Source organism: Homo sapiens, chromosome 8, assembly GCF_000001405.40.
Source record: "Homo sapiens chromosome 8, GRCh38.p14 Primary Assembly".
NCBI lineage: Eukaryota > Metazoa > Chordata > Mammalia > Primates > Hominidae > Homo > Homo sapiens.
The window spans coordinates 32,731,807-32,758,216 of record NC_000008.11 but is presented as its reverse complement, the minus strand read 5'-3'; the positions used below and the strand labels follow the sequence as shown (position 1 = coordinate 32,758,216).

The 26,410-nt window shown below is 37.1% G+C and overlaps 1 protein-coding gene across 25 annotated transcripts in view; it reads right to left on the bottom strand.

Moving 5' to 3' along the window:
- Positions 1 to 26,410, bottom strand: part of NRG1 (neuregulin 1) — a 1,134,802-nt gene that overhangs the window by 15,830 nt on the left and 1,092,562 nt on the right. For 10 of the 25 annotated variants that reach the window (NM_001159999.3, NM_001159995.3, NM_001160001.3 and 7 more), the window contains 4 exons: positions 15,484 to 15,542; positions 8,633 to 8,656; positions 3,743 to 3,845; positions 1,688 to 1,814 (listed from right to left, as the gene is read on the bottom strand). In NM_001159999.3, the coding sequence (NP_001153471.1) occupies positions 1,688 to 1,814; positions 3,743 to 3,845; positions 8,633 to 8,656; positions 15,484 to 15,542 (313 nt within the window). Of the gene's footprint in view, positions 1 to 1,687; positions 1,815 to 3,742; positions 3,846 to 8,632; positions 8,657 to 14,991; positions 15,543 to 16,141; positions 16,210 to 26,410 lie in introns of those variants that run through there. The other 15 variants (XM_017013372.3, NM_001160004.3, NM_013957.5 and 12 more) reach the window with 4 other exon arrangements.

Below are 26,410 nucleotides of genomic sequence, written 5' to 3'. Positions count from 1 at the left end.
TGTGTTTTAATTGCTGTTAGTATTTATACCAAATTGAGTTAAATAATAGGAAAACCAATAGAAAGGAATACTCTTTGATGAAATAAGGCACTTTATAATCTGACGGTCTGCGGGCTCTAAATATATTCAGGGAGATCCAAAAATATACAGCTTGAATTATGCTTGAAACTCTAGCTGGTTCTCTTAGTGGAAAGGCTATTCCATGTGGATCTTCCTGGGAAGTACAGCTAGCTTGATTTAAGGAAAGGATACACAGTGACCTACTTCCAGTCCCTGAACCATTTCACTATTGCTTTTTGGAAGGCAACATAAGCTCAGTGAATCTAATGAAAAAAATACTTAACAATTATTGAACACTCACTAAATGCCACTAGACTAAGTGTTTTATGCAAATTACCTTATTTAAGGCTCACAAGGAGTCTCTGAAGTAGGTATTATTTTTAGGTCTGTTTTTATATTGAAGAAATAAGGTTGAGAAAAGTTAAAGCCCAAAGATGCACAATGTGAGCAGTAAATGTAATCTAGGCAGTCATTCTACCGTTTATATATTATAACATGCAGAGTGACAGATTATAGTTCCTTTTGTAGTGAATATCGTTATCAAATGTGGAGAACATTGTGATGAACACTGTTAGAGGGTGAAAAGGCAACAGAGTGTGTTAACCTATAAGCACCTTGCTCCAACAAAGTTTTGAAGGTTTTTGCTACAAGACTTGCTGATAGTTTAGTAACCACCAACTCTGTAGTTGGGTCTATGATATATCTGTTCCATTCAAAATATGCCTTTTTCTATAGGATAGAAAATGGTACTACAATATAAGCTTCAAGCTTTGTGTATTAAAAAAACCATACATCAGAGCAATAATTTGAAAATAAGAAGGATGATGCTGGAATATAAAGAGCAATACTCCAAAAGCCAAGAGATGGTGCGGCTCTGGCCCTTATCTGTAAAAAGAAAAAGAGAGATTTGAAAGATAATATCTTCAAACTCTCCAGAACCTAATATTCTATGATCTAGTTGTATTTAAAAAACTGAATGCTGAGTGTTTGGTACAGTATGAAAAAAATATTTTAATGATTATGGATATATTTCATCTGGAGGGCTTGACATCATTTAGAAAGGGCCAGGGAAGAAGCTGGCATGACACTCTTCTTTTGCTACTGAGAAGGGTGTTTGATAAGTCACTTGACCTTTCCACGCCCTAAAGGAAATCAGAATCCTTTGGAAATCATAACCAGTAAATCATCAGGCACTGTGAATTGCCCTAAGAAAATAACTCTAAAGCTCTTTGCTCGGTTATCTGTACTAATCAGTTACAGAATGGAGTAGCCTGTATTTCCAAGTTATATATGAAAACATTCTTTTTGATTATCGTACTATTAAATTTGTTTTCTCCCCACTCTCTCCACGCAAGCCCCAGCTATGGCCTCCTTGCAGAACAAACCCAACACTATTATTCCAACCCCTTAATGAACACTTTATAAGAGGAAATGTGCTGATTTTACAGTAACCAAATCCACTTTTAAAAATGTTCCCATTATTTTCTCCTGGCAAAAACCTGGATTCCTGGAAGCCATGGTGATTAATGGCAGCAGCTAAAAGCTTAAGAGCTTTCGAAAATAAACTTCAAGGCGTCTGAACAAAGGAGAGAGGCTCAGTTTTTTCCACTGGCCAGAGTCAACGTACATTCACCAGCTGGACATTCTCGGGGGGTGGGTTAGGATGGTGAGGCCCATTGGCAATGTTCATCATATTGTTTCGTTCAGACCGAAGGCTCTGCCGAAGACGGTCATGCAGCTTTTTCCGCTGTTTCCTGGACATAAGAAAGGGAGCATTTATTTTTTTTTGATTATTTTCATTTCATAGTAGAGCCAAGTCTTTATTCTACCAACACCTATGAGTAGTTCAAGGCAGTAGACTGGTGATGAGGAAGAGGGAAGGGAGTATGTCCACTGTATCCCAGAATAAGTGAAACCACACATCCTTACCAAACAGATTTTAAAAGCCACCTGGGATTCTTATGGAAATTTAGCTGTTTTACTGAGAGACAAGAAAAAAATAGGATAACACAAATAACTTGATAATTGACTAAAATCACAAATTTCCTAATCAATCCATCTTTGCCTAAGTCTTACAAATGGACACTTATTTGTCTTAGATAATAATTTGTGCTGGGCTGGGTGGGGTGGCTCATTCCTGTAAGCTTAGCACTTTCGGAGGCAAAGGCAAGAGAATTAATTGAGTCCAAGAGTTTGAGACTAGCCTGGGCAACATGGAGAAGTCCTGTCTCTACAAAAAATACAAAAATTAGCCGGGCTGGTGGCGTGCACCTGTCGTCCCAGCTACTCGGGAGGCTGAGGCATGAGCATCACTTGAACCAGGGAGGGGGAGGTTGCAGTGAGCTGAGATTGTGCTACTGCATTCTAGCCTGGGTGAAAGAGCCAGATTCTGTCTAAAAAAAAAAAATGTGCTGTAGAATTTATAAGAGTGATTTCATTTATAGCTTTTCCTGGGGTCTCTTAAGAAAATGAACTGAGTTTTGAATATACACAGTTAGCATGTTTGTGAGTGTATCCCATGTATACGCGTGAGAATGTGGACATATTTTGCCAGCGGATTTTGGCACAATCGTAACATGTTCCTACTCTGGTAACGCTTTTTGTGCAATTAGGCAGCGAATATTGAGATGGAATCTAATGAGACTCACCAGGTCGACTCCAGGAAGGCTTATCTCTATCCCTTAATTCTGGCAACACACTAAATCATGGGATATTGACAAAATACAATCCATGCTTTGGATTTTGTGGCATAAAAGCATATTATTTTTCTTCCTCAATGCAACATTCAGATTATGAAATATTCCCATGGATGGTTTGGCAACAGAGTATCGTGCAGCAACATTTTTTCAAAAACCTTGTTAATTTAACATATTAGGCTTGAAATGTAAGTTATATGTAGGAGAGAAAAGTGAAGAGAATCCATGTCACATAGTAATTGAATTTGTTAATACGGACCAAACTTCAAGACCAAACATAGGGAACCCAAATCTATTCTAATGTTTTCTCTCTTATGTTTTCAAAGAAAGTTTTGCTTCATTTTCCTCCCCTGAGATTCCTTTTTTACATCTCAGGCTGTGAGAGCATTCATACTGGCAACCTAATTAGATAGAATTTAAAAATAATAATAATAATCACTATAACTCAGAAAACTGCATTTCAGATACCACGAAAGGTTTCCTTTATCTCGTAATTTTCAGTGTAAATTGGATTTGTTCTCAGTAGTCCTTTGAACTGAAGGTACTACTGCACCCTGAATGCAGTCAGTCTCTAACTCATAGAAGTTTTTCTAGGTGCAAGTTAGTTTCTTTTGGGGATAACTTAATTATACTAAAGCCCTCAAATGGACTTCTGGTACCCTCCCTCTCCTTTTAGAATGAGGTGCCTTCATTCTGTCCCACCCACACACATACCTTCCATACAAGCCTGTCCCTCCAGGCCTTTATCCACTCAGGGGCTGTGGTCATTGAACAGAAATCTTTACATGAATAGGCAAACAGCTTTCTATTTCTGTGTTTAGGAGACATCCTCAAAATGGATTATTCAGAGGAAATAATCTCCCCCTGCCCCTCCTTTTTTTTTTATCCCCAAGACTAGGCTGTGGAGCTCAGATTCTGCAAAGCCCTGGCCATCTAAGCTGTCTCTGCATGAAGGAGAGAGAAAGGCATGGAGAAAGAAGGTTTACTTGGTTTTGCAGTAGGCCACCACACACATGATGCCGACCACAAGGAGGGCGATGCAGATGCCGGTTATGGTCAGCACTCTCTTCTGGTACAGCTCCTCCGCCTCTGGAAAGGGATGAGAGCAGATGTCATCACAGGTCACTTCCACTTGCCAGGACTGACTACAACCAAACAGTGGGCATGCTGCATGACATTGTCCATGTTCACAAGAAAATAAATACATGACAATTCTTTACGTTTACACACATAGCTAAGGTACAACATGCTCTGCACTATGCTTTGAACATAAATATAAAAAAGCCAGCTGGGGCCATTTACAATACAAATATTATACTCAGAAATTACTTCTAATTATAAGCTATAGAGATATATATAGTTGATAGTAAATTGGAAATCATAAACATTAATTATAAAATAACTATTTGGTTAAAACTCTGTAGTTTTATTTTTTTTTGTAGTCTCTTGCAAAATAAAATATAAAAAGCTCTTGCAAAGACAACAGGAATCAACACCAATTAAAGGAGATGGAATTGGCATCACTGGGCGCCCCCCACTTCCTCCTTCCTCCCCTCTTTATCCCCCAGCCCCTGGCCTTTTTGTATTTCCCAGATATTTTATATCATCACTTTATATCCAGTGGTCTTTACAAAGAGTCATTTCTAACTTAAATATATTAAATTCAAAGACATTTGCAAACATGAACTTGGCTTGTAGTTAACTAGTAAATTGAGTCAGGCTCTCTGTGATTTAACAGTAAAATGTGAACACAAGAAGCAATACAATATGAGGTAGCAGGGCACTGTATCAAAGAAAATCCTATGTGATGGGTAGGACAGTTATGGGCCCAAATGGTGACTTGTCCTTTGGAAGACAATTCTAACTACTCCACCAATTGTACTTAGGAACAAGTTTTATTTGTCCAAAGAAGTCACCAGTACAAATGATGTGTGATTTGGAATAGAGTGCACATTCCTACGTTGGCCAACTTGGCAAATGAGCTAATGTAGATTATACTAAGGAAATGTGACACTTAGAACTTTGAACCAAAGATACTACTGCACCCAAAATGCGATCAGTCTCTAATTCATAGAAGTTTTTCTATTTGCGAGTTAGTTTCTTTGGGGGATAAGTTGATTATACTAAGGTAGGTCAGGTTCTTAACAAGATTTGCTGATTTAATAGGGACTCTGATCCCTAAGGACCTGAGCTTCCAGTGAGTCTAATTACATTTATTGGAAGATCTTCACAAGTTCACTCAGAAAGAGAACTCAACTGGTATGAAATAAGCAGTGTAAGCTGTTCACTTGCCATTATGATCAATAAATTGGTCAAGAACTGGGGAATACTGTACAAACAGAGCTGACTATTCTGGACATCAACAAGGGAACCTCAAAGCATATTTCCATATTATATCTGCAGTGGCACAACTACACCTTTAACTACACCTTTTTCTCTTTTGAGAGAGGGCAGCTTGCAGGAAGTTTTCTTGAAATGAAAAAGTGAATTTTAATTTCTAGGATACAGTGGACCTTATCATGAAACAAAACATTTCCTACAAGCCGAGCCCATGATAATCAAATTCCAGTAAACAGGTCAAGAACATTGTCAAATCAAATTAATATAGCACTGATTATTAACAGGAGGAGAAGGAAAAGAGAAGTCAGTGGGTAAAGGACTAGAATGCTGCATAGAGTATACAAAAACAAATCAAAAGGGTTGGAGGTGGAAAGGAAAAACAAACCAAGAGGACAGACAGACTGACAGAATGACAGAGAGACCGAGGAAGGGAAAACAAGGTTAAAAGTTAAGGAGCCATCTGAAGTCCCTGGCACAGCATGCCTGATACTAAGGGAGGAAAAATAAAGAAAGAAAAGAAAACCAGAGGGAGGAAATGCTTGGGTGGGAAGAAAAGGTGGATGCAAAGTTGGAAGGGTCATTCCATACAGCATAACTCCTAATCTAGCAGTCATGTGGAAGCCACAATTAGAAAGCGAAGCGGCTGGTGCATTGCGGTGAAACAATGTACCAGGAGATATTGAGTTGGTATCACGGATTTTGTGTGCAGCAAAAGTCAGATGAGGACATGGAATGTGAGTGCTTATATGTTAATTGCATATGTCTGCTGCCTCCCCTCCCCCATAGCCACAGGACAGGGAATTAATTTCTATGGGGTGTTATCTGGTTGAAGCTGCTGCTGTAGCCTCTCTTCCTGATCTTGGTATCCTGATCAGGTTTTAGGATACATGTCTAAGAAGCAAAGCTGTCACCCCACTGGTCCTTCTCTCCCTGGGACCCAGGATGCAGAGCACAGCTCCCTGGGCTGTGATGAGTTGGTGAAGAAATAGGAGTGTAGGTATTATTGACAAGAGATGAAGGCCCTGTATGATTGTCCTCTTTTCCGTCCTCTATTGTTTTCTTCTTTGAAGATGGGCAAGTCTGTGGTTATTCTTGTCTACTGACATCTTAACATCCTATCTTTAGAAAGAAGCTAGGAAACTGCTTCTGCAGACTTCAAAAATGGGGACATGGACAAGGGCTAAATGGGAAAAAGGAATCATGCATACTCTCAGGGATTCTTGGGACAAGTTGTCTTTTGGTTGTTGTTAATTACAGAAGAATAGATTGAGCTGCGTTTGGAAACATATGGTGCATGATGACGGGTGCATTCTTTCTATGCAGTGTAGGAAGACACACATTTTCCAGTAAAATGATCATTTCATGGAAATAAAGAGGTAGCTCAGTAAAGGCCAAAGGGTAATGTAACAGCACTAGAATGAGCTGATTCAAGCGAAGGCCCATAGAATACAGACGTGGGATTAAAATCTTATATTCACATCAGCATTGACCAGATGCACTACAACCCTTATCCTCATTGCTATTTGAATTTTTCATGGTTTGGCTCAATCAGGTGATCCCACACTATGAATGTGATCAAGGAAAAATACTTGGTGAAAAATAATACAAACAATGGATTCTTTAACCTCTTTTTTCCCCATATTAATTTTTTTCTTATGTGTCAGGTCAACTGGGGAAGAGCAAATTAGAGACAGACAGGGCTAAAAACAAGAGTCTGTCATTCCGATCGGTGGGTCTGTCTCTCAATGAGCACAAATGCCCCAGAGTCTTCATGGTTTGGCTGGACTAACATGTTTCCAGATCAAGCACATTTTTCAGTCTGATCTGGCCTGGCCAAGAAACAGAGCCCTTACCTTTCTGAGTTGTACTTGACCTTTAAGGTCTGATTTTCCTGAAGGATGCAATGTTCTGGTTTAGTACACCGGCAAGCCTGGAACTATGAGCCTCTGGAAACTGTACCTTTGAGAAGCATGCGGATAGCAGCCCCCTGTGTCTTTTCTAACCCATAGAAGATCTTACTGAGGGGGAAGTTATATATCTCAACTGTCTTTCACTTTACTGTTGGGGACAGAAACAATACATTCTATAGTCAGACCCTCCAGCTATAAAAATGAGAAATATGCTGTTAAGGATAGAAGGGTTTGGGGTAATGGTAGAATTTTTTCCCTCCCTGCAGGATAGGCCAATAATCCATTTCATAAGTGGGACAATTTTTTTTTTCCCTGAGGGAAGAAACTCCAATAGATAGCTCCCCTCAGTACACAACGTGCTCCCTAGTAATAGAGGTGCTCCCCCTTGTGTTTCTCCCTCTTTGGAGATGTTCTGCGAGGCACAAAGGCCCATTCACGTGCACCTGGGGGCTTCTCATCAAATTGGTAGTTTACTCCTGATTTTTTTTTTTTTTTTTTTTGAGGAAGAAATGGGCAACCCATTGAGCAATCCCTGTAGCTGCTAGAGCTTGCAACTGCCTCATTTCCCGCAAAGTCTGGAAACTACATTATGTCCAGCCTGTGATGTTATCATCCAAAAGAAGGCAGCAGCTGTAGGATGCCCCTGCTGCATGATGTCCCTGAAGCCAGCTGGATGGGGACCAGATATTCTGTGAATCAGGACATTGTGTCACTGACCCAACCATGGTCCGGGACTGCAGGCAGCATTGAAAAAGACTGACTGGCCTGGCCCTGTGGAGTCTCTGGGAAGGTAGCACAGCTCCTTACTCCCCAGAGACTGGTCTTCAATCCCAACTATGTAGGATGAAGGCCTTACAAAAAAGTGTGTCCAAATTTTGTATACTCATATATTTTTCTTTTACTTTGACAGTGTGAAATTTTCTATTTGATTACTTGTCTGGATAATCTTCATGACTCAAATTTAATTCCATTACCACTGGAATCTCCACCTAAAATAGCACAAGGCTGCTTTCTTTCTGTTTTCTATTTCCTTCTTATAAGATAATGAAGTTGACTAGGGTGGTGCTTGAGTATCTCCAGAAAATCTGAGTAATTCAAGTCTGTGCATTTAATATTGTGTTGTAACGTAAGGGCTTTCTATATACATTACATTGCTTATATTAAATAGATGATTTTTACATTGTATGCCAAAAATCCTACCAGGCTAAGATGCTGTGTGTTTTTTAAGCAGATGGATTTAAAAAGCCTTTGTTCTCAGGTCTCTGAGTGGATTTCCCCTGTATCCTTTATGTGCTACTACTACTTACCCCAGCTTTTATATAACAGCAGAGCTAGATCCAATCAGTGGGTTAAGCAGCGTGGGATATATGTGAATTTGCAGCAGGTAGGGTACTTTTAAACTCTAAGTGAAGGATGCTTAGGAATCTAAAACCTGCTGCACTCAGTAACATTTCAGTAAACTAATCATAGATTGAAGGCAGAGAAATCATTGTTATAGCTGTATGATCCCTTCTAAAGAAAAAGGAAATTAGTTAGGAACTGAAAGGTAAGAGTAGGAAGGGAAAAAGATTTCAGCTCATAGGCTCTAAATTCTGCAGGCTAAAAGGAATGATGATTGGTCCATACCCATAAATTCAATCCCAAGATGCTCTGCCAATGCAGAAAGTTGACAAAAAAAAGAAAGAAAGGGAAAAAGTTTCAGAAAAGAGCAATACACTGCACTCCAAAACACATTACACATGACTATTATGGCTCTCTGTGCATGCACATTGAACCAGACAAATGGTGTGTGGTTAAGAAGCAGTGCTCAGGTACGCCTCTGTGAGTTCACATAGGGAACGTCTCTTTTTATGAGGTGTGCAAAATACCAGCACACTGTGTCTTTATTAACCCTTAAAAGACCTTACTGAGGGAGAAGTTCTGTCGCTGAACTATCCCCTAAATTATTTCCTTGTGTGGGAATGGAAAGATTATCTTTATAATCAGAAAAGGCATTTGATACTATTTCATTCCTTTTTTTAAAAGGCAGAAGCAAAGTTCCAAGGAGGTGAATTTTATTTAATTAAATTAATTAATTAATTAATTTTTACCCAAAGACACCCATTGGCAGAGGCAGGAGCAGAAGCCAAGAGGATGGTAATTTGGTCTGAAAATGTTATCAGGTTGGACTTGGATTTTTGATTGTGGGTAGCTGGCCTCAAATACTTCTTGCTCATTGGTTATCTAATTATTTTCTTAGCTGTATCTCTTTTACTTCTTCTAATCTTCCACTTTCCTCATCACTTGTCTGTTTCATTCACAGAAAGCAACAAATGCTTCTGCCCCAAAACCCCAAACAGGGGCTTGGGACACTGGAGACTCCTTCTAGTTTTTCTCATATAAGTTCTGTATGGCATAGGACAATTCTACGCCTCACTTTTTTCAAACTGTAAGGAAAAAAATAAGTGGGAAAGATCCAATTCCTAGGGTTTTTCATCTTATTACTCCTTTAAATCACAGAGAGCCAGTGAAATCACTTCTCCAGAATGCTGGACTCCCATGCACACAGCCACTTGGAGGACCTGCAGGGCTGCCCAGGGAAGTGGACTCAAAGGTATGAGCCAAGAGCCAGCAATCCTGGCAGCTGGGACTCCAGAGACTCCAGGATTGCAAGAACAGCAGAACCTGCAGAGGCTCCATTGAGGAAGTGGGGGAAAACAAGCCCCCCAAAAAAATAAAAAAAATAAAAAATCTCCAGGGATGACACTTTTCATTCTCAAAACCAAAACTGATAATCAAATTTCATGATGCGGAAGGCTCTAGGACTTCCTTTATCTCTCTCTCTCTCTCTCTCTCTCTCTCTCTCTCTCTCTGTGTGTGTGTGTGTGTGTGCGCGCGCGCGCGTGTACATGCGCCTATGTGTGTGGTCAAGAAGCAGGTTGGAAGGAGAGACAGCATATCAATGGAGATCTATATTTTCTTTCTTTGATCACTGCCTCGAGAGATACAAGGGCTATTCAATGATATGGCAAGGTATCTCTTAAGTGTGAAGAAAATGCTGTGGAGGGGTGTTTCTCTTACAAAAACTTGCATTTGGGCATGGAAAAAGTACCTCATATAGAGAGGGAAAAAGCAGGAGATGAGTGTGCTGGAATCATCTTGGTTTTGGGTCCTGCCTCTGCCGTGGAACTTTTTAGTGACTTTGGACATGTTAATTTTTCATTAACAAAATATTTCTTATGCAAACACATGCCTCACTGGGCATGCCTGGGGAGTAAAGGAGACGTGAAATATGTTGGCAAACAGCAGAAGGGTTTAACAGCTTGGGTAGCAGACACATCAAGAGATGTACCCTGGGCCATTTACTGTATTCTCGTTAACTAGCCAGAAAAACTCTGTAAGCTCCGGGGATACTTGAAAACTTAAAAACTTGCTGCCCTTTAAGGAAATAAAGCTCCCCAGATTTTTTAAAGTATATATATATATATATATATATATACACACACACATATATGCACACAAACACATATATCAAAAAGTACATTGCATAACAAGGATAATGGGAAGCACTATATATAATAATTTCCTCTGCCTTGGGTCCAGTGTACACAAGCAAATAAGCTATATTTTTCATAAATTAAAAGCTAGGGGATTTAGTTACGATTAACTTGGTTGCACAATATTCACAGCAAAATAATTTATTCAAATCCAGATAAATTTCTCTTGCCTCCGTGCAACACTCAATTGGTCAAAAATTGGTCATTTTTTTTCCCATTTGCTTTCTTAATACAAACTTTGGAACATCCACGTGAAAACATTCATTTTCCAAGGAAGTCAATAATAAATTTCCTTACTCATTTCCATGAAGGTGGGACCCAGATTTTCTTTCTAGAGCCCCCTCCCTTCCCTTGCCTTTTTCTCCTACCAGTCAGTAATAATTTAAGGGTTAAAATCAAGCGATGTCTACAGAAACTCTTTCCAGAGAGTCAGGACTCCATGCCTACATGAACACTGCTCATGATCTATATTAGTTGCATAGAAAGCTTGGTTAAGTCTTCAATAAAATTAGTAGCATGCCCATGCATACATATTACTGCATTTACAGTTTTATAGGTAAGTCTGTCAGCCTAACTATAATTTCATTTCACGGGAAGTCATTCATATCAGGCAGCTCCAATTTCAAATAATTCAATGGGAAATTGGTACTTAAAACTGGAATCTCTTCTGGCCATAAGCCCTAACAAGGAAACAAGCAGAGGGAACATGCATCAGTCATACTAGACCCAGAGCAAATAATGCTCTAATTCATTTTTACTATTGGTAGCTACATTTCTTTCATTGTAAGTCAAAAAAAAAAAAAAAAAGCAGAATACACGAACACTTTTCATTTTATGAAAAGGTTATTACTTTCTATCTGTTCTACTTAATCTAATGTTGGCCTGGACTCATTAAGAATCACATGCTTCCTATTGAACTTCTGCCTAGCCACTACATTTTTCAAATTAAATTAATAATTCAAAAACACAAAGTTTACTGTAAACAATCTAGTTTCCTTTTCTACATGTGATTTCCTGCTGTGCTCTGAGCAATATAAAAAATTAATTTAAATCTAAAAGTCTTCAGAAACTATTAAATATTGACTCACGAATCCTTTGTCTTAGGATTTTATAATTGCTTGAGGAAAACTGATTAACCTGTAGGTTAATTTAAATTTTCAATTGCATTAAAGGAAAGAACAATAGAACAACTTTCTTTTACAAAAATTATATATCCATGCAATTGTGGTTCCTGTTAAAATTTGAAGACATTTAGGATTTTTCTCTTTAACATCTTGGGCCTGTTTATGCTAATCATTTCAAAGACTTAAAATCTTAAAGTCTTGACTTTCTGTACCGCTGAGATTTCGAAAGGAGTTCTGTCAATGCCAATTCTAAACAGGACCAATTTAGTGTCTGTCTTTTAATTTTAGACTTACCTTTATAAAATGGAGATACTGTTTTTTTTCACATATGCCAATCCGTAGTGTCACTGGGCCCTTTGAAATGTTAACGGAGACTTTCTCCTTAAGTTTCAAATTCCATGTGCACATAAGCACACTCACAAACACACACACAGTAAAATCTCACTAACACTTGGCTGGAATTTATGGCAATTTTGTCACAGGTGAAGTGTTCCTCTATTCTACTTTTAGCAAGATACATGTTTGATGAACAAGAATAATTTCAACAGGTTGCATTTAGAAATCCATGCAAATGATGGATGCACTAGTAACCTGTGATTCAAAACTACTTTTAAGGATATCTGCTAAATTTACTCAGTGTGAGAATATTCCTAAAAGTTCTAAAATTACAATCTTTTAAAATATTCTAAATTTGAGCTATTCTATAATTAGGTCCTATTATGTTAGTTTATATATGACATACCTGCTCTGTACTGCCCCTAACTATTGAAAGTGTGGGTGCTTTTTCTTTTTTCCTCCCTAAAATCTGTACATTGATTATGGAGTGCCTGTATACACACACATACGTGTGGACACACACACGAACACACACACACCCCCCACACACCACATATCGATGAACACAATTTTTTTCAACTAGGAATTCTGTGTCAAGTTAGGTCAAATTTGAAGCTGACTAACCTTGACAATATTTTCCTAGAAAGTACTATAAATATAATGTTTTATTTCAAGGCAAATGACTGCCTTATAAAATATACATTTGTCCCTCTCTTTCATATTTTAAGTCAGTTTTTATAAATCAGTAAATGGCTCATTGGACATTCTGACCAGAATCACTGTATCAAGTCTGAATAATGTAAGTTTTATGTTAATAAACTTAAAAAATTATCTATTCTTTAGAATGTTATTTTTCAACTGAAAATGCAGTTTGGTAAGTTTTGAATGTTTCTCTTTGAAGCTGGGGACTATCTTTTCCTAGTTTGTGTTCAAAATTTATGTTTTCCAGACTTTAAGACTACAAACAATTAAATTTTAAAACGGTCACTATGGTGACATTCTCTATCTTTATTCTGGCTTTCACTGCTACTTGAACATAAAGTTCTTAGAGCAGCACAAATTTATTTTTCTGACTTCTATGTAGGGGTTTGCAGAGATAAAAATTGAAAAAACTCTCGGTAAGACAACACTGGAAAGCAATTTCTGATTGGAAGCTCTTGCTTTTCCAGACATGAGGCATCTCTGTTGCACAGCCATTACATATATTGTTCATAAATGTGCAATCAATCTTTGTTAAATCAGGTTAAATATGAATGCTGCTTTCCTGGATGTCGTCCAAAAGTGGCATTGAAAGCATACTAAAGAAGTTATTTAAGGAATCACACTCTGAACTTCACAAAAACATAGTGGTTATTTTAAAATGATATCTTCTGAAAAAGCAAATGGTCTAAAAGAGAAGTTGAAAATATTTTCTCTGGTTACTACTGTCAGATCTAACTACATAATTATGCTGGGAAATAGCTTCATTTTTAATGCTTTTATTTATATAGTGCCTGAACATTGCCTTCAAAGCACAGTAAAACTCTTAACACCAAAAATGTAAGTGTAACTTAATTAAGTGATCAGAATTGTCATTAAAGTCTAAAATATGATTTTACTGCATTTATCTAGCCACATGGATTTGCTGAGTCTATGTTATTTAAATACAAATACACATTTCTAAGAGAAATGCTTTAAGGTATTAAATAACATTCTATTTTTCCCTTTTATTTTTATTTTCTATCCTAGCTTTAAAAAATTAACTTAAAAATTAAATCAAGCTATTTGCTTTAGCTGTGGATAGAAAAATTCTCCCTACTAAATGCATATTACTTAAATGTTTGTGAATAAAGTGAAGGCTGTTTGGAAATTTTGCAATGCCAATTTACTAATTTTTCACAACAGAAAATGGCCTACGAAGTTGTCTTTGATATGTAGCCTATGTAAATAAATAAATACTACCTCCCTAAATAAATGATTGCACATTACGGGTCTAATCTTAACATTATACATTATAGAATTTATTCTGGAAACTTCTATGTTAACAGGAATTACAGAAACTTATTCTCTGCATGCATCAGAACAAGGGTAAATCTGATTCTTTTAGGACCCCTAAATAACCAACTTACATCACTGTTTCTTATGTTAGGTGAATTTAAACTGCAGTAAGCTATGTGACATATTTTTCGGGGTGAGCAATTGACAATCTAAATCAGTGGTTGACAAATCCAGCCCACTGTCTGCTTTTGTAAATAAAGATTTAATGGAACACACCCATGCACATCAGTTTTATGCATTGTTTACAGCTGTTTTCATGCTACAATAGTAGGTTTGAGTTGTTGTGACAGTGATGGTGTCACCACAAATCCTAAAATATTTGCTCTCTGAACCTTTACAGAAAAAAATTGCCATTCTTTCATCTACAAGGATAACTACATGATATGCATTTTAAATGCAATATTTTGAAAGCTCCAGGATCAGAAGTTATATGTGTCCAGTTCACAATAGGACAAATACATGGTTTGGTTTATATAATTATGTACAATGTGAATTGGGTCTTTTAGGAATGATGTTCAAAACTTCAGGAAGCCACGAACATCTATCCAAACTTCCCAGTTTTGCCTTAAGTTATTAAGTTTTATATATATATATATATATATATGTTTTGCCTTAAGTTTTATATATATATGTATATACACGCACACACATATATATATACAAACACATATTTATCCTATAGTTGAGTTGTTATATCTCAAAATAAATATTTAAACAAATAACAGTAACTATTTTATTCTAAGTTACTTTTGAAACTAACATAAAGAAATGGTAACATAAATAAATAATTGTTTAAACTAGTGCCTGAATTACTTGTTCCCTAAGCAACGTAAACAGAAGCCAGGATATCTCATTTGCTGTGAAATGTTTGTTTTTAATTTTCCTACTTGATGCTTTTTTAAAAAAATGCCTCAATGCAAACTGTTTGGTTAATGAAGAAAAACATCTGAACTCCTTTTATTATGTTTATTTGTGACAAATAACACATTCTGAATCAAAATTAACTTACCATCATTTCAAGTGCATATCGGTTACAGCTTAGCAACACCCTTTTCAGGATGTGGTCATTGTATAAAGAAGATGGACTGTTCAGTAGAATGATTTTTATTTTATCAATAAAAGTGAGACTTTGAAATGCCTTTATTATCATATTTCACTGCTTGATATTGACTATCAATTTGTATCACATCATTCAATATCAATTCCAGAAACATCCGGAGCCTCACACACCTATTAGTATCTCAGAGCCAACTAGTCGCGAACAGAGGAAGTAATACAATTGCTTTTGTTAATGTTCTCATGCGACAGGCAGAGGCAGTCAATATTAGATCTGGTAAGACACATCTAGCTCTAGGTGGAATCTGAGGGGAGATGCAGCAACAAGAAAGCAGCACCAACTGAGCATGCTCCTATTCAGGCAGAGACAGAAAGGGAGTGGACGTACTGTAGAAGCTGGCCATTACGTAGTTTTGGCAGCGATCACCAGTAAACTCATTTGGGCACCTGAGAGAAGAAACAAAAAAACAATGGTAGAAAAACAGAGAAAAAGAGAAGAGGTGAATATATGCTAGAAAGAAGCTCCTTCAGTGTCATTTGACTGAAACTTGGTGAGTTCACCCTCAGGAACTGAATCTTTGCCCTGATCATGGCTTTCAGGCTCTGGCACTTCCCCCAAATGGTTAAAAATTTGGACAGAATGCAGTTCTTAAGTTGGTATGGTGGAAAGATCCCAGCACTTTAAGTGGTTGCCTTCTTTCAAAGGGAACCCCTTAAAATGAAATCCGATGTTTTATTCATCTCAGTTTTCCATATGATGGCTTTGGTCACACACGTTGGAAGAAAATGTTTCTCGGTTGGCTTGCCTGCAATAGTTTGTCAGCATCACGGGCCATCGTGACTGGCCATTCTTGTAAATTGATGACTTAGGGACCCACTTTGAGAGACAGTTAAATAAGGTAACACTGAATGGGTTTATGCCTTGAGAGGTTAAGCCATAATTAGAACAAAATGAATCAGTTACGACTGAGCTGTAAAAGCACCAAGTGGTAGTGATTGTTGCTGTAGTTGGGGGAGAAAGCAAATTTCAGATTATTTTGACATACTTTCTTGGTTTTGGACTTTCATGGGCACATTCTCAGTACATCTTGCTCCAGTGAATCCAGGTTGGCACCTAGAGGGCAAAAATGTGGTAAGCAAAAAAAAAATGCTAAAGACACTGAGCTTTCAGACTGGCAATTTTCCTCCTATGGAATATGGAGATTCCTAAAAATGATCTGGTACCAAGCAATATAAAGAAAAGAAAAGACACAACATTTAGAAAACCATGTCCCACGAAAACTGTGGGTTACAGATTTTTGTTGTTGTTTGCTTCAGTCTTCAAATGATTGGTTAACTGAAATTTAACTAGAGTGAAGTTGAAATGTGGAATAAGAGGCAGCATGGCCCGGAGAGCTGTCAATTTCCCTTTGGCATGACCCTATTTGCCACTGATCATTGATTCTCACTATGTTGAAACACTGGTTTTGATAAGCGCTAACATGATTCCATCCCTGTCTCTTATCAATAAATGATCTTGAGCTTTTTCTTTTATATACTTATTTCAATTGTGTATTTATTTCATGGGTGTTTTATGTTACAAGTTAAGTCATTAAACAATAGAAGTCAAGTACTTTCACACTATAATGATTATTGACAAGAAAAACTACATTCCCTGTTTTTTAAAAAGACATTACAAATAAACTCTTGTTTTTAATGTTCAAAGATACTAGAAGCAGATTTTTATCAAGACAAATTTCACTTAATTGCATTATCCCAAATCAAAGACAAATACATTTTAAAATTTAGATCAGTTATTCTTATGCAGAATTACTTAATACATGTCATTTTGCATTTAAGGAAAAACTATTTTTAAAACTGTATAACATTTTTCATGTTATTCACTCACATATATTTAACTATCAAAATTCTAGAATCTTGATATAATATTGTTCTTAAGGTCATGCAATGGGGCTGTGCTTAAATATGGAAGCTCTTTATAATTACCACTTTTTTGTTGTTGCTGTTGCTGTTACTCTAATAACTAAAGCATTTTAAGTAGGATTGATTTTACCAGTATATCCTCTAATAAAAAGGGCCACTGAAAGGTTCTAGGAAGCAATATACTTACAGATAGAAAGACCATCATTTTGAATCCTCAACATCCATCATCATAATTATTATTAATAGTTCATCTATACAGCAACCATCAAGCAAAGAGCCTATCCAAGTTAGCTCTGGTAGCTCATCCCTAGTGATTTTTACACAACCCTTTTCACTACAGAGTAAATAAGAATACATACTATATTTTTGGCATCAAAGAGATATGAACAAAACTGTTCCTTGTTACCAATATAGGGGTAATTTCATTTCCCTTCAAACCAATTCACCAAGTGACTTGGTATATGTAATTCTCCTACTTTATGAAAATAGCCTGCGCGATAAAATACTAGCAGTTTCAGATTTTTTGCCCTGTGAGTATGTGTTTAAGCTTAAACAACAAACATCTTATATTGACACAGCTCTTTCAAACTCTTGGAAACACCTTCATATAAGTAAACGGATTATTTTTGTTTAGAATATTTTTGCTGCAGGGAATAGAGGAAGAGCTACCTTGAGAAACATGTCAATAAGAAGTATAAGCTTGGCCGGGCGCAGTGGCTCATGCCTGTAATCCTAGCACTTTGGGAGGCTGAGGTGGGAAGATCACAACAAGGTCAGGTGTTTGAGACCAGCCTGGCCAACATGGCGAAACCCTGTCTCTACTAAAAATATGAAAAATAGCTGGGTGTGGTGGCGGGCGCCTGTAATCCCAGCTACTCAGGAGGCTGAGGCAGGAGAATCACTTGAACCCGGGAGGCAGAGGTTGCAGTAAGCTGAGATCGTGCCATTGCACTCCAGCCTGGGAGACAAGAGCAAGACTCTGTCTCAAAAAAAAAAAAAAAAAAAAAAGAGGTTGGGTCATTTCTCAAAAAGACGCCATTTCATATGCTTCAATAAGAATGTCTTCACATTCTTACTGAACGTATATAAGAAAAAACACATGGGAACTTTTTTCATATAACTTATTTGACAAAATTATTTCTGAAGTAAATAGGGTTTTTATTTGTTTCTCTACCAGGACTATAAGTTCATATAGACAAACCCTATAATTAAAGCAGGTGTTTCCAGAATTAATGATGTATTCAGTAATTATCATTCCATCCTGCTTCTTTGAATTCTTGATAAAAGTTAAAATTCTCATACTGAGCACAAATAATCCATTTGTTTCTTACAAAAGAACATAGTATAAGATATGTGAACACGCTGTGTATGTGTAAGAGAGACACACACACACACCACACAATTGCTCAAGGCAGGAAATGCCCTTACGTTAGTAAGAATCATTAAATTAACAAATAGCTAAGGAATCACGAGTTCCTTAAGAGAAGGAAGGCATTTATAAGGAAATTGTCATTAGGCATCTTATAACCAGTTCTGTGATCAGAAGGCACAAGACAACTAGGTAAAGGGAGTCAGAAATCCTACCCAATCAATTTTCTAACTGCTATGAATTTCTAACATGATGTTTCCTAGGAAGCTAGCATAAGATGATGGCTTATCTCTATCATAAAATCATACGGAAAACTGGGTGCACTAACACCAGAACTACTTGAGGTATGAAAGTCATTTTTTGGAAATAGCAGCTACCTCTCAACCAGAACTATCCTTTTGCTAGTGTTTGTCTTCATTTGGGAGATGAATTTTCTCAGCATTGTTTCTTAGTGTTATAAGACCCTGTTATTACTTAGAACTGACAGCATCAGCATTTCCTAGGAGTGTGCTAGTGTAAACGCAGGCCACAGCCGAGAACTATGGAATAAGAAGCTTCATTTTAACAAGATCCCTAAGAGATGTGGATGTAGATTAAAGTTCAAGACGTAAGGTGCCCTGAACTGGGAAAAGGGAGGCAAACGCCCTCTCTCGGCACTGTGGTATCTTGCTGTTTGCACATGGACACGCTATTTTGCTTTACGGGGTCTCATTTTCCTCAGTGATAAAATGAAGGAATGTAATTAAGTGATTATCAAAGACCTCTTTTCCCACTAAGGTTCTGGGAAATGATACTTATTCTAACACATGGAATCACTGCTAGAAAACCCCAACATCATTTCTTCTGAATGCATTACCAGTCAGGGACGACAGAACTCAATGACTTCTAAAAATCCTTCTTGATAAAATGGATTTTTAAGACAATCGTTGAGGTAAAACAAACTGCAAGTGCCCAAGCAACTCAAGTGTTCAGCAACAAAAGGATGTAGCCTTCAGAGACATCTAAATTTGTTGCCAAATGAGATGGAAGGGAAAAGCAGAAACTGAGATAGTTTCTGCATATGCAAACTGCACACTGCATTGATTGTGTAGAGAAAGCACATGCAAATGAAAACCCAGTTGATCTATAAGCTCTGTGAAATTCTGTGGAATTACTTCTAACAGACTAGGGAGACTGGCTTCTGATACATTTCTATTATCAACATTGTATGTTAAACATTCAATCCATCACTTTCCTGGAAGATAAGAATAACAGTAAATCAAACCTGAGTTTGAAAAATAAGCTTTGGCATGAGTTTGAGCAAATTCCAAGAATTTTATGTCTGAGAACAATCTAAGGATCTGAATAACAAGTACTTGTTGTAGCTTTAAATATATATACATATGTGTGTGTGTGTGTGTGTGTATGTATATACCATTCGTTTCATTAATCAGATTAGAAGATGGAAATCAGGGTTTTTAAAAATTTTAGTATTTGCTCTTAACATGATCATGTTTGTTCTATATTTGTTATTAATGGGGTGAAAATTCACAGTTTTTTCTGAACTTAGGCATCACTCTTTCCCTGTCCTCCACCTCCCCATCACCCACTTCTATGCTCTGGGGAGAATTCTCTCCTTGCCTTTTGTATTGCACCCTATCCTGACCTCTTTCACTGCACTTATCTGTATTGTGATGATCTGTGACACACTGATCACATTCTGTCAGACAATGATCACATTCTGATCATTTTGTATCTCTAATGCCTAGCACAATGCCTGGCTCATAATAGGCTCTCACAAAATGTCCGTGAAAATGAACTTAAGATCAGACCACAGCGTCCGTATCTGATCCACAATTGTATCAAAGGAGACTTTCAGGCCAGGTGTGGTGGCTAAGACCCGTAATCCCAGCACTTTGGGAAGCCAAGGTGGGCTGATCACTTGAGGCCAGGAGTTCAGGACAAGCCTGGCCAACATGGTGAATGGCTCTATCAAAAATAAAAAAACTGGTTGGGCGTGGTGGTGGGCGCCTGTAATCCCAGCTACTTGGGAGGCTGAGGCAGGAGAATCGCTTGAACCCAGAAGGCGGAGGTTGTAGTGAGCAGAGACCACAACACTACATACCAGCCTGGGTGACAGAACGAGACTCCATCTCAAAAAAAAAAAAAAAAAAAGGAAGATTGTCATACAGTTAATTGATTTGCAAGCACAGGTCAATCTTGAACATCTGTCTGTTATTTTTATAGTTTATGATACACTCTCCTCTGTGGACTCCCAGATAATTTTTTTTTTATTTTTTGAGACGGAGTCTCGCTCTGTCACCCAGGCTGGAGTACAGTGGCAAGATCTCAGCTCATTGCAATCTCTACCTCCCAGATTCAAGCAATTCTCCTGCCTCAGTCTCCCAAGTAGCTGAGATTACAGGCATGCACCACCATGCCCAGCTAATTTTTGTATTTTCAGTAGAGACGGGGTTTTGCCATGTTGGTCAGGCTGGTCTCAAACTCCTGAACCTCAGGTGATCCACCCGCCTTGGCCTCGCAAAGTGCTGGGATTACAGGCATGAGCTGCTGTGCCTGCCCTCAAATAATTTTTACAGAAATTCCCAGTATCCTTCTCACAGTCTCCCTCCCTCCAATAAAATCCTTTAACATCATGTTTGCAATTTGGAAAAGATTCTTTGATTCTTTAAAAGTAAGTCTGTTATCTTGAATTTAAATACTATTAGTGAAATACCAGTTTACTTCAGATTCAATAAAGCAGTGCATTCTACTAACCAAACTTCTGCCCAGCACCAGTATAATAAAAACTGTGGTTAATAATAACTTCAATATACTGTTAATATCCTGATATGCTTACTATGTAATCAATCATAGATGTATGTATTTTGAAATAAACTTAATGCTTGGTGTATTTTTTATATTCCAATTGAATAAATTATTTTCCATTTTTTCTTGGTGGAGATTCTAGACGTTTTTATAGATATTCACGGACCCCAAGAAACTTCTAGTTAGGGTTGGCTAATTTTATAAACCACACATTTATGGTCAATTTATAAACCATCCTTAGACATCCTTTCTCTTCTCAGCTTCATTTTCATCAAACCCTCCCTTGATCAGGAACAAGAGGAAGAAAAAAAAATACAGCTGATATTTCCTCTCTCTCTAGTCATCATTCCACAGTGAAATATTTGGACAATTTAAAAAATACCTTGTCGAAAAATGAAAAGTCCCTATTATCTGTCTGCTTTTCCTCAATACTAGCTGTGGTATTTGAAATTATTTGATGCCTATGTTTACAAATATTAAATGATAGAAATATCAACAAATCTCTATCAAGGAATATTGGTGAGAAAGTATCAGACACCAAAGCCTTTGCTCTCTCTCTGTGTAAACTCGAGGTGGCAGTGTCTACGCCAGCTCCAACTATGCTGGTCTGTTTTCCTACAGTATCGTGTTGCAAACATTGACTTTTCTCACCTCTTAGCCAGCTCAGCATTCTGCCCAGAACTCGCCCACTCACTGGCTGAGTATCTGTGTTGTAGATTATTCTTTCCCAAAGGTATTGTTACTATTAGTCTGCATTTTTCCAAGATGAACCTCATTCTGTTATCTACCTTTAAGTGAAGTTTCTTGAGGTTTGCATATGCTTTTCTAATTTGTGTTTTAGCGTTCTTTCTAGCATCATCTGCAAAAGACATTTATTTCCCCAAGGGAATGCCTTCTTTAACATCATTAAAGAAAATATTAAATATAAAATGTTCCAGTAATGTTTCCTTCAGATCCAACCTATATCTCACCACCACTGTTCAGACAGTATATATCCTCCATTTTTTTTTTAATGACAATCTGGGGACTAGTTTCCAATCCATGAGATAAGAGGATACATAGAGTGGCCACACTAGACTCATGGGTAAATGCTGAGAAAAAAACAAAACCAAACCAAACCTAACTTGTCCTGCCTTTTCAAATGTTGTTTTTCAATGTCCAGGACATATAATCCCAATAATGAGGGTGGCGGTGTTTGTGAATTAACTTCTTGTTTGAACCTTGGTGCCCTTCCTAAATCTCTGTTTGCACAGCTTGCTCTGAAATGCTCATCTGCAGAAAGACTAAAACCCTTGCCCATGTTTACTCTACATGATGAATCCTTAAGTTGGGGGTCAAACAATTTCATTGGATGTGGGATCAATCTACATCCCATACATCTCCACGTCATTGTGACACAATGACATATCGACTGCTAATTTGTGGTTTGGTTTTCCTCTCTTGAGGAAGTTTCCCTGTCTCGTCAAACAGCTTAGGGGTTCTGAGGGGCTTTATAGCCTTATCCACTTCACCAGCCTCATTCTGTGATAAAACATCTAAATATTCACTTTTTCCTTAAATCATTCAATATAAATATTTCAAAATTGTGTATTCGTTTTCCTGTAAATTGACAATTTGTACTTGTATACATTTATGGGGTAGAAAATGATGTTATGATTTATGAATACAACGTTGAATAATTAAATCAATCTAGCTAAAATATTCATCCACTATTCACAATAGCCAAGTTATAAAATCCACTATTCACAATAGCCAAGTTATAAAAAAATCTACTATTCACAATAGCCAACTTATAAAATCAACTTAAGTGTTCACCAACAGATGAATGGATTAAGAAAATGTGGTATATATACACAATGAAATATTTTAAATTGACTCTATATACATCTGAAGAGTATGACTGCATACTCTTTTTTTATTCTTTTTTCCACAGAGCAGAGTCAGCCTCTGACTAGGTCTTTCATTGTACATTCCCTTAGCTCAATTAATATCCTTCATAGCACTTGGCAAACCTGTGATTTATAATTCAATTAATTACATGAAACATGATTGTTACTTGCAGTAGCCTACAGACTCCATCAGGCAAAGACCAGTATGGTTTTGTTCACTACTTTGTCTGTAGCATGAGCACAGAGCCTGTCTCATATGAGTTCAATAAATGTACATGGCTGCTCAACTGATTTTTATAAGTGAGGAATGAAGCTATTCAGAACACTTAGACAATGCACCTGATTTTAGGTAAAACTACACCTAAACTGAATCCTATAAAAACTAAAGAATTTTCTTCAACCCTACTTCAGTGAGTTAAAAGTCTAAATGAGTTAATAAATTCCTCATAAGCACATAGTAGGATTCTAGATATATGAGGACATGAAAGAAATAGAGGACACAGTCGTCTGAAGAGCGCACTATCTAGATCCACATGAGTCCCACCACTTGCTCTCACAAATGCTGTCTATATCTGTTAAATGTTACAATATTCAAGAACAGAGAAGTACCACAGGCAAGTGTAACACTGATTCTAAAGAAAGAACTCTTCTAGGCTGGTATTGGTGTTAGCAGCAATACTACAAATACAACAAATACTACAAATACAACAAAAGTGTGTTCTTATAGACTGGAAGTTCTAACCCAGTCCTGTTTATTTTTTCCAAATTTCTCTTTCTGCAGCCATGATGATGAGACTGCAGGACACAACTGTGAGTTTGTACCGTTGCCCCCTTGTTTAATTATATTAATTCAGCTACTAATACATATTATAAAAGTTACTATCATCAGCATCATTATGTCAGTATTTTATAAAATGTTAACCTTAGCTAGTGCCTTTGATGTCTTTGACTTTCTCTTTCCATCTTACTTAGTCCCCAGACTTCTTCTAGCCTGTAAGGAAGACTCGCTTCCCTAAACATCTGCTATGTCTATGGTGCCACTCTTCTGCTCCAGATGTTACTATGGCTCCCTGTTAGCTATTACAATACCCAAAGTCCTCTGCCTGACCTTCAGAGGTCATTAAGTGGCTCCACTGTTTAACTTAGTTCTTTTATTTTGTTCATTTGTTTGTTTTACTTCCTAGAATTAAGCTGCATGTTACCGTGTCTCAGAGAAAGAATTCCTACAACCACAATGCCTTCCTGGTATAAAGGAAAGACTCTATAAATGATGATTATATTTAAAAAGTCTTCTCTAACTTATTTCAGTCTTTTCTTTCCCTTCTTTAAATTTGTATTACCTTAATAGTCAGCATTGTACCATTTGGCATATATTCACTCATTGATTTTCTATTTTAGCAATTTCATTTTCTTTAACAGACTGAGTTCCCAGAGATCAGACACCATTCCTTATATTTTCTCTGTGTTTTAAAAAGTGCCTGGCAAATAGCTGTTCTATAAACAAATGTTAATCCATTTATGCTTAGTGTTCCATTATTGGGACGCTAAGCCTGTGGAAGATTTTAATACCCTACTGCTCAAGGTCATTGCCAAGGTCTGATTGCAAAAATTAAAAAAATTGCGACCTCAGGCATAATTTGATAAATATTTCATTTACATTATATATATTATCAAATACGTTTGATAAATATTTTATCTATCAAACTTAAAGTATTATATTTGCTGTGATTTTGTCTCCCATAGTTATGTTTTTCATACCTGTCTCTTATAATAATGTATAATATAATAAGGCCCTACATGGCTTCATAAACATTCATTATACAAAATTATAAAAGTCTATGTTTACAGATACCTTCCATCTTTCCAAATTTAGTTTGTTTTTTGTTGTTTTTGCATTATAAGGAAACTAATGATCAGAAATATTAAACGATCTGTCAAAGAAAAGTTATAAAGATAGTTGGTGGTCCCAACAAACCAAATAAAACTGCTACTCTTAAGTAAAATAAAGAATTAGAAATTAAACATGGGCCAGGCATGGTGGCTCATGCCTGTAATCCCAGCACTTTGGGAGGCCAAGGCAGGTGGATCACCTGAAGTCAGGAGTTTGAGGCCAGCCTGACCAACGTGGTGAAACCCTGTCGCTACTAAATACAAAAAATCAGCTGGGCATGGTGGTGCATGTCTGTAATCCCAGCTACTTGGGAGGCTGAAGCAGGAGAATCGCTTGAACCTGGGAGGCAGAGGTTTCAGTGAGCTGAGACTGCACCATTGCACTCCAGCCTGGGCAACAAGAGCATGAAACTCCATCTCAAAAAAAAAAAAAAAAAAAAAAAGAAATTAAACATGATAACACAGTCTGTTAAAACAGGTGTATATATTTTTCCAATGTCTACTGAGAGAATGTAATACTACCATTTACTTTTTATTATAAGGAAAAATAAATTTTGCTTCCCCAGAGTTAAAAGTACTTTAGCAGAAATGAACTCATTTAATTTCACTGACTCCCTGGGAAGAAATTTGGAGAACATATTAACTTCATGTTATAAATAAATATATTGTCCAGAGAGTTGAAGTGAAAGGACATAAGACTGTTCACCAAAATTGGTAGTTTAAAACTCTAATCCCCTCCAGATGAAGGCACATCTGTCCACTGGACAACATGTTGGACTTATAAGCACAGCCTGATATAAAATAATTTTTAGATTAAAAAAAATCACATCAACATCTTCCAAAGTAGTTCTCCACTGAAACTGTTCAGAAGAACAGATACACAAGAATAGAGAAAAGATGCAAGAGGAAATCTGGACAATTTCATGTTTGATTTCATGTGTCTTGTTTCTTTGAACCACAGGACTACATAAAGCATCAGAGGGTACAAAATGGAATGATTCTTTTCTCATCTTTTTATAATCTGGAATAGTAACTATTTTTTCCACAGAATAAATTTTAAATTACTGTAGAGAAACAAAATATAAAAGATGAGAACTACCACTGAAATTCCCACACAGTCCCCAGGAGGAGGTCCAAGCAATCCGGAAACCTCTCCTCAGAGAAGTTTTTCACTGTTAATATGTTTAATCCATTCGAAACACCTTGTTCTAAGCAGAGAGACAAAAGAGATTTGCTGTAACATCTTCTACTTCAACTCCCAAGAAGACAACAGCAGATTAGGTGACCAGAGAGACTACTTGGAAACTTCCATGCTTGTGGTGTTTCTGAGTCATGTCTTTAGTCAGGGATAAAGCTGATTTTCAATGATGTGGCTCATGCTTCAGCAATGCTTAGCTCTAGACAGATAGACCATATGGAAACTATGAACTGGCTTC